Raw genomic sequence first — 9,755 nt, 5'->3', positions numbered from 1 at the left:
GCCCCTCTATTTAAGGACACTTCCCAGAAGTGGCAAATACAACCCCCACTTACATCCCATTGACTAGAATTTAGTCACATGGTTACAATGGGATGTAAGTAGATGCACAAAAGGCTGGAATTCTGGCAGAGGTTGGGATTCTTGATTGTGGCTGCTTTGTGCTCAGTTAGAAATTGAGGTTCCATTATTGTAGAACAATGCATCTGGGTAATAAAGAATTTGACCTTGCCCAAAGAGAGGTCCATCCTTTGCCTTCAGCTTCTGGTAGGTAATCTCTCAGCCCTTGGAAAATCATGCTCGATAGGAGTATCTTTGTTTAGATTGGGAGCTGGCCACACCAGGAAGTCTAACAGTGTGATTTAGGGAGGGGGTTGGGGTCACGTCGTATTAGTTCAACATCCAGAGGGGCTGGAGGCTGCGATCAACCACATGGGAAATCAATCATTACTACACAATGGAACCCCAATAAAAACTCTAAGCTTGGGTGGGCTTCCCTGGTGGGCAAACTCCATGTGTGTTGTCCACGTTAATGCCAGGAAAGTGGCACTATCCATGGCTTCCCAGGGAGAAAACAATGGAAGCTCTGTGATGGGTTCTTTCCTGGACTCTACCCTATGTTCTTCTTCTCTTTTTTTTTCTTTTTTGAGATGGAGTCTCGCTCTGTCACCCAGGCTGGAGTGAAGTAGCAGGATCTTGGCTCACTGCAACCTCCACCTCCTGGGTTCAAGCGATTCTCCTGCCTCAGACACCTAAGTAGCTGGGATTACAGATGCGCAACACCACGCCTGACTAATTTTTGTATTTTTAGTAGAGACGAGGTTTCACCATGTTGGTCAGGCTGGTCTCGAACTCCTGACCTCGTGATCCGCCAGCCTCGGCCTCCCAAAGTGCTGGGATTACAGGCATGAGCCACCGCGCCCAGCCCCCTCGGCTGATTTTAATCTGTATCCTTTTGCTGTAATAAACTGTAACCATAAGTACACCAGGTTTCAGAGAGTTCTGTGAGTCTTTCTAGTGAATTATCAAAACTGAGAGTGGTTTTGGGAATCCCCCATACTTTTTTTTTTTTTTGAGACGGAGTCTTGCTCCGTTGTCCAGGCTGGAGTCCAGTGGCGTGGTCTCGGCTCACTGCAAGCTCCGCCTCCCAGGTTCATGCCATTCTCCTGCCTCATCCTCCCTAGTAGCTGGGACTACAGACGCCTGCTACCATGCCCGGCTAATTTTTTCTATTTTTAGTAGAGATGGGGTTTCACCGTGTTAGCCAGGATGGTCTCGATCTCCTGACCTCGTGATCTACCTGCCTCGGCCTCCCAAAGTGCTGGGATTACAGGCATGAGCCACCGCGCCCGGCCGGAATCCCCCATACTTTTAATTGTTCTCAGGAGTGAGGGTGAGCATGTGTAGACTATGCTCACCTTAACTTCATAATGCCCCAACCATTTCCTTATAACAGTACACTGGGGCGAAAGGACAAAGCTGATCGTGGCCAGAGGCTCGACGCTGTTCCAGGGCTTACTTGTCTGCCCTGGAAATTGAGGACCCCAGTATCTGAATACACACATAACTCATTCAAGACATGCCAGGATTCTGCTATAGAAGAGGAGGAGAAAAGCAAACTGCCACAGCTTGCCCTCTTAGCCGCCTGATATCCATACACATCTCTCCTCCCACACGTGGTACATATTCATAGCCTTACCAAGGGCAACAACTTCAGAGTCCCACCAATGCACTTCCTCCAGCTCCAAGTCCTGCACCCTGGGGTGGTGTTCAGAGCTCTCCATAAGTCTAGAAGGGCTCTTTGTAGGCTGGAAACCCACGAACTGAAAGAAAAGTTACCTTCCCCAACATGTTTGCCTCTGGACTGGCTCTCAATGTCTAGCAGAGAATTGGACATGTAAAGCCCTTTGCAAAACATTGAGACCTCGGTAAAACCTTTACTTGGAATACAGAAGCCATTGGGTTTTTCAGTCCAGCAAGGCCCCAAATTACCAGCTTATCACTCAAATTTGCTTGCAAGTGGCAGGCAGAGAGGGCTCCTTTGCCAAAACGATGTTTTTCATTCGGTTGACAGACTGGCTGGCTTTCCTCAAGTTCACCTTTCTTTTGGATTTTGCAGGACGTGGCAGGAAGAAGCTGACTGTGCCCAAAATTCTGATCTTCCAACCATTTCCTCCTGACTCTCAGCCTTGGTCAGCATATAGTATGCCTTCTAAAGTAACCCTGGAAACATGCCACCAAGTGTCCCATTGCCATGTCCTAATGACCATCATTTTTCCGAACCTGCAATATATGAGTCCCGGGCATGTCATTGCTAAGTCAGTGCCACAACCTACGTTCTGCAACATACATTTTCCCACTTCCAGATACCAGATTTTGTCCTGGTTAGGACTGGAGGTAGCTGCAAGTGTCTGAAATTACAAAATAACAGTCGCTCAAGCAAGATGAAGTGTATAAGTTGCCAATTGCTGCTGTAGCCAATGACCACAAACCTACTAGCTTAAAACAACACAAATGTATTATCCTTCAGCTCTAGAGTTCAGAACTCTAAAATGAGAGTTGAGGAACTAAAATCAAGGTGTGGGCCAAGCTGAGTTCTTTCTGGAGGCTCCAGGGGAGAGCGTGTTTCCTTGCCTTTTCCAGGGTGTTGCAGTGCCTGCATTCTTTCTTGACCTCTGGGCCTGCCTCCATATTCAAGGTGCCTCACTTCAACCTTGGCCACTCCTGTCATCACAGGTTGTTTTTCTGTCTCTGATCTTCCTGCTTATCTCATATAAGGACCCTTATGATGACTTTGAGCCCACCCAGAATAACTAGGATCATCCAGGCTAACCCCCGCCCCCATCTCAAGGTCCTCAAGCACATCTGCAAAGTCCCTTTCCCCAGGTCAAGCAATATATCAACTATTTCTAGGGGCAAGGATGTGGGCATCTTTTTCGGGGAAGGAGGGAAGTATTATTCTGTCTACCCCTCAAGATAGCTGTTTGTTTCTCTCTTAAATAAATATAGGCAGCTGGGGCCAGGACGGAGGGTACCTGGAAGTGCTCGGCCTCCTTCTGCCTTGTCCCTCATCCCTCTACAATCCTAGTAAGTAGCTTCTGCCTCAAGGCCCCAGAAGACTACGCAGACTCAGGCCAGTGCATCCAAATACTAACCAGCAAGTGGGAAGAATGGGAGGAAAGAAGAACTTGCACACCCTCTTTTTTTTTTTTTTTTTTTGAGATGGAGTCTTGCTCTGTCACCCAGGCTGGAGTGCAGTGGCGAAATCTCAGCTCATGTAACCTCCGCCTCCCAGGTTCAAGAGATTCTCCTGCCTTAGCCTCCCAAGTATCTGGGATTACAGTTGCAGACCACCACGCCCAGCTAATTTTTGTATTTTTAGTAGAGACGGGGTTTCACCATGTTGGTCAGGCTGGTCTCGAACTCCTGACCTCAGGTGATCCGCCTGCCTCGGCCTCTCAAAGTGCTGGGATTGCAAGTGTGAGCCACCGCCCGGTTTGCACCCTCTCTTGAAGGGCACCTCCCAAGAGTTGCACACTAGGTTTCCATTAACAGCCCACATGGTCACCTCTAGCTGCATAGGTGGTGAAGAAACGCAAGGTTTCTTCAGGGCAGTCACATGTCCGTCCAGCTAAAAAGTTGAGGTTTAGGTCGGGCGTGGTGGCTCACGCATGTAATCCCAGCACTTTGGGAGGCTAAGGTGGATGGATCACCTGAGGTCAGGAGTTCGAGGCCAGCCTGGCCAACATAGTGAAACTCCGTCTCTACTAAAAGTATTAGAAATACAAAAATTAGCCAGGCGTAGTGGCAGGCACCTGTAACCCAGCTGCTTGGGAGGCTAAGACAGGAGAATCTCTTGAACCCGGGAGGTGGAGGTTGCAGTGAGCCAAGATGTCACCACTGCACTCCAGCCTGGGCAACAAAGAATGAAACTCTGTCTCAAAAAAAAAGTTGAGGTTTCTGCTATCACAGAGGAAGGGGAGGACATATAGGGGGAGACATCTAACAGAATGTCTAGAGTCCCTGACCTGATCTCTAAAATTATATGTACATTTTCAGGCGGGGATTCAATGCAAACATGTGAAATTTCAGAAAGCAGACAGGTCTACCTAACTGTCACTCATCTTGTGCAGATCTTTGACAGAATTCAACAAGCATCCTTTGTGTAGCCCTCAGACTAATGCTGTTCCCTTAAAAAAGTAGGGAGAGAGAGAAAAAAGGACCTCACATTAAACACCCTTCAGGGAAAAACATGAAATGGAAGTTTACTAATTCCAAAAGTAAACAGAGGGGTTTTTCCTCCTGAAGCTCAGAATACACCAAATTATCTACCGCCGATCAGCGAATGGATAATTTGGGTGTGATGGCTGGGGTGTATCCCAGAGTGGAGTGAGGCTCCAGGGCGCGGGGAACCAGGAAGCGGGGACTCTTTCCTACACTGACCATTAAGCTTCATGAAGGCCCTGTGAGTGTATCTGACGGGAATGGGGATTTGCGTGGGACATGGAACCCTGACCCCTCATCTACAGGTGGAGCCTCTCTCGCTGTCCCAGCACAGGTCCATTCAGTGACTGAGTCACACTGGGGCTAGCCGCTACGTTGTTTTCTATTGTCCCACTTCTTTTTATCCTACTTTGCCACTATGGGCATTGCCCACTCACCATGGTCTGTTGTTGAGATTACTACAAACATTTGCCAACTGGAATGTGTGGTGAGCTGCTACCCTCTACCACACGCTGCACACTGCAGGCAATGTGCAGGGTCTTTCTAAACGCAAAGGTGATCATTTAATGTTATGGGTTGCATTGTGTTTTGTGTTCCCTTAAAAAACACATGTTGGGGCCAGGCATGGTGGCCCATGCCTGTAATCCTAGCACTTTGGGAGGCTGAGGCAGAAGGATCGATTAAGCTCAGGAGTTTGAGACTAGCCCAGGCAACATGGCAAAACCCCACCTACAAAAATACAAAAATTAGCTGGGCATGGTGGCTCGTGCCTGTGGTCGCAGCTTTTTGGGAGGCTGACGCAGGAGGATCGCTTGAGCCCAGGAGTTCGAGGCTGCAGTGAGCTGTGATCGTGCCACTGCACTCCAGCCTAGGTGACAGAGTGAGACTCTGTCTCAAAAATAAGTAAATAAATAAATAAACAATAGAAATTAATTTCTCACAGTTTTAGAGGCTGGGAAGTCCCAGATCCTGGCACTGGCAGGTTGGGGCCTGGTCTCTGTGCTTCTGAGATGGTCTCGAATGCTGCATCCTCTGGAGTGGAGAAGCGTCATGTCCTCACATGGCAGAAGAGCAGAGGCAAGCAGACCCATGCCCCAAAGCCCTTGTTATAGCAGCATCGGGCCCATCAAGCCCCACCTCCCAACACTGTTGCACTGGGCATTAAGTTTCCAACATTCGAATGTTGGAGAGGCCACATTCAAACCATAGCACCTTCCATGTACCTCCATAGCTCTCTGTATGTAGAGGAATGAACCACTATCGAGGAGAAATTTGGGCACAGGAGGAAAACTTTGGAGAATGGCAATAACCCACTCAGAATTCATTCATCATGGTTCAGACCGAGAGAAATTTTTTAAATAATGAGTGAAGAAATCAGACCCAAGACAGAGGAAAATATCCTATGACAAAATAAGCCCACGACATGTTAAAAAGAGGAGAGAGACCATGTGCTCTATGAGTCTCTTAGTTATGAGATAGGTGTACTCATAGCGGGCTGAGTGTTGGCCTCCCCAAAAGATACGTCCTCTTAGAACCTGTGCATGTGACCTCATTTGAAAAAAGTTCTCTGCAGGTGTAATTAAGGATTTTGAGATGAGATCATCCTCGATTATCTGGGTGGATCCAAAATCCAATGGCAAGTGTTCTCATAAGAGGGAAAAAAAGAGCCAGGCGCAGTGGCTCACACTTGTAAACCCAGCACTTTGGGAGGCCGAGATGGGCAGATCATGAGGTCGGGAGTTTGAGACCAGACTGGCCAACATAGTGAAACCCCGTCTTTACCAAAAATACAAAAAATTAGACGGGCATGTTGGTGGGCGCCTGTAATGCCAGCTACTCGGGAGGCTAAGGCAGGAGAATCGCTTGAACCCAGGAGGCAGAGGCTGCAGTGAGCCGAGATGGTGCCATTGTACTCCAGCCTGGGTGACAGTGCGAGACTCCGTCTCAAAAAAAAAAAAAAAAAAAAAGAAGAGGAGGAAAAAGGAGAAGACACACAGAGGAGAAGCAGATGTGATAACCGAAGTCGAGATTGTACTGATGTATCAACGAGCTAAAGGACGCCAAGGGCTGCCGGCAGCCAGCAGAAGCCAGCACAGAGGCATGGGATGGATTCTCCTGCAGACACACCAGGGGGAAGCGGCCCTGCCAACACCTTAAAATTGGACTCTTCTGGTTCCCAGGATTGTAACAGTATAAATTTCTATTGCTGTAAGCCACCAATTTTGTGATAATTTGTTACAGCAGTTCTAGGAAGCCAGTACAGCACCCTAAAGTAACTAAGGAGAAAACTAGACTTGACCATTGTTGGAATGAAAGTATCTCTGCAATCACCCACCCCTGCCACACTCTGGAGCCAGCTAAGGCCTAGCTGGTGCAGGGTGTACTGCAAGCAGCAGTGATGTCAACACCCTAGGAAGGCCAGGGCTGGGACTCTGTGCACAAGTAGGAGGGGTGCAGGGTCTTGGGAGGGGCTAGTAAGAGACTAACTCCCCCCAACACTTTGATGCTTACAGCAACTCTTCACACTCTACTGGAATTACTTGTTCGGTCATCTCTCTTCCCTTCTGGGCTGTAAACTACATGAGGGGAAGATTGCACCTGTTTTGTTCCCTGGTGAGTCTTCAGGATTCAGTACCATATATAATTGACACCCAGCAAATAGATGTGCAATGACTGACCAAAGAAATGTATCATATCTTTTGTTGTTGTTGTTAGACCAAGTCTTGCTCTGCTGCCCAGGCTGGAGTGCAGTGGCGTGGTCTCGGCTCACTGCAGCCTCCGCCTCCCGGGTTCAAGCGATTTTCCTGCCTCAGCCTCCCAAGTAGCTGGAACTACAGGTGTGTGCTACCACGTCCGGATAATTTATTGTCTTTTTAGTAGAGAAAGGGTTTCACCATATTGGCCAGGCTGGTCTCAAACTCCTGACCTCAAATGATCCACCCACCTCAGCCTTTCTAAGTGCTAGGATTACAGGCGTGAGCCACCATGTCCGGCTTGAAAAATACCTTTTTTAAATCCCTGTAAATTGTATAATAAGCACCTCTATCACAATTTCCAGCCCCAACTTTTATTTTAAATTTCAAACGTAGATAGGAGCTGGAAAAAATGTACAATGAACAGGCACCAACCAGATTCTAGAATAAATGTTTTGCTATGTTTGCTGTATCACATATCTACCTATCCACCAATCTATCTAATAAAACATTTTGCCCTCAGTTAGGGTTAATATCGAAACACCTCAGGTAAACCAAGAAGAGCTCCATGATAATACAGAAAATAAACCAATGGGGCCGGGCATGGTGGCTCACGCCTGTAATCCCAACAGTTTGGGAGGCAGAGGAGGGCAGATCACCTGAGGTCAGGAGTTCAAGACTAGCCTGGCCAACATGGTGAAACTCCGTCTCTACAAAAAATACAAAAACTAGCCAGGCATGGTGGCATGCGCCTGTAATCCCAGCCACTCGGGAGGCTGAGGTGGGTGGCGGAGGGGTGTCGCTTGAACCCAGGAGGCAGAGGTTTCGGTGAGCCGAGATTGCGCCACTACACTCCAGCCTGGGTGACAAAGTGAGACTCCATCTCAAAAAAAAAAAAAAAAAAAAGAAAGAAAGAAAGAAAGAAAGAAAGAAAATAAATCAATGGGACCATAACTGACATGAACTAAGGATACCTCACCTGGAGGACCCGTCCCTAGGGCCCACGCCTTGGCCCACTCAGTCAGGATCAGGGAGTAAGCCTGGCTGGATCTGGAGCCAAAATGAGGACCTTCCCTAAGGGCCTGTGGCATCACTTGACATCTTATTGCCACATGGGACTCCTGGAATTCCAGGAAATCCCAATAAACAGAAGCCCAGGATAACGGGCCGTTGGGAGTGGTGGAAGAAAGAGATTTGGTGCAGCCACAACTGATGAATCCTGGCAGCCACCAAGAGCTGGTTGCTGAGGAGTCCACCATGCTCCATCATGGTGTCTGCTGCCTAGATGGGCCTGCCTCTTCTTCCTGCAGGGCCAGCGCACACGCTATGCACTGCGGCTCCTGCAGCTGATACGGGCGCCAGAGTGGGGACCTGGCCACTGTCATGGTTCAACCACGGTTAGCTCCACTCCCTGAAACGTTCTTAGGCATTCCTGCAGTGGCAGGAAATCAAGTGAATGTTGATGTATTTTACAAAGGCTTGCCCTATTCTTTGCAGAGTTATTAGCTTTACCCCATAACAGTGGTCCCCAACCTTTTTGGCACGAGGGACTGGTTTCATGGGAGACATTTTTTTCCATGGACAGGGCAGGGGAATGGGTTTGGAATGATTCAAGTGGATTACATTTATTGGGCACTTTACTTCTATTATTATTACATTGTAATAATATATAATGAAATAATTACACAACTCACTATAATGTAGAATCAGTGGGAGCCCTGAGCTTGTTTTCCTGAAACTAGATGGTCCCATTGAGAGGTGACAGCGTGCTGGAAGTCCGCACCGCCCTCGCTCGCTCTCGGTGCCTCCTCTGCCTGGGCTCCCACTTTGGCAGCACCTGAGGAGCCCTTCAGCCCACCGCTGCACTGTGGGAGCCCCTTTCTGGGCTGGCCAAGGCCGGAGCCCACTCCCTCAGCTTGCAGGGAGGTGTGGAGGGAGAAACGCGAGCGGGAACCGGGGCTGCGTGCGGCGCCTGCGGGCCAGCTGGAGTTCCGGGTGGGCGTGGGCTTGGCGGGCCCCGCACTCGGAAGCAGCTGGCTGGCCCTGCTGGCCCCGGGCAATAAGGGACTTAGCACCCGGGCCAGCGGCTGTGAAGGGTGTACTGGGTCCCCCAGCAGTGCCAGCCCACCGGTGCTGCGCTCGATTTCTCGCCGGGCCTTAGCTGCCTTCCCGCGGGGCAGGCCTCGGGACTGCAACCCGCCATGCCTGAGCCTTACCCCGCCTCCGTGGGTTCCTGTGCAGCCCGAGCCTCCCCGACGAGCGCCGCCCCCTGCTCCACCACGGCCAGTCCTATCGACCACCCAAGGCCTGAGGAGTGCGAGTGCATGGCGCGAGACTGGCAGGCAGCTCCAGCTGCAGCCCCGGTGTGGGATCCACTGGGTGAAGCCAGCTAGGCTCCTGAGTCTGGTGGGGACGTGGAGAATCTTTATGTCTAGCTCAGGGATTGTAAATACACCAATCAGCACTCTGTATCTAGCTCAAGGTTTGTAAACACACCAATCAGCACCCTGTGTCTAGCTCAGGGTTTGTGAGTGCACCAATCGACACTCTGTATCTAGCTGCTCTGGTGGGGCCTTGAAGAACCTTTGTGTCCATACTCTGTATCTAACTAATCTGATGGGGACGTGGAGAACCTTTGTATCTAGCTCAGGGATTGTACACGCACCAGTCAGCGCCCTGTCAAAACAGGCCACTTGGCTCTACCCATCAGCAGGATGTGGGTGGGGCCAGATAAGAATAAAAGCAGGCTGCCCGCGCCAGCAGTGGCAACCCGCTCGGGTCCCTTTCCACACTGTGGAAGCTTTGTTCTCTCGCTCTTTGCAATAAATCTTGATACTGCTC

The 9,755-nt window shown here is 49.6% G+C and overlaps 1 annotated feature.

The window, feature by feature from the left end:
* Positions 8,446 to 9,372: an enhancer, noted in NCBI's record as "H3K4me1 hESC enhancer chr21:38655347-38656273 (GRCh37/hg19 assembly coordinates)". NCBI's record gives its function as "activates a minimal SCP1, AML or CMV promoter by ChIP-STARR-seq in naive H9 embryonic stem cells {active_cell/tissue: H9 hESC(naive)}" and the evidence as "EXISTENCE:reporter gene assay evidence [ECO:0000049][PMID:30033119]".

The sequence above is a fragment of the Homo sapiens genome, chromosome 21, assembly GCF_000001405.40.
Source record: "Homo sapiens chromosome 21, GRCh38.p14 Primary Assembly".
In the NCBI taxonomy this organism is placed as follows: Eukaryota; Metazoa; Chordata; class Mammalia; order Primates; family Hominidae; genus Homo; species Homo sapiens.
The sequence above is the reverse complement of the archived record's forward strand: the minus strand, read 5'-3'. Positions and strand labels throughout refer to the sequence as shown.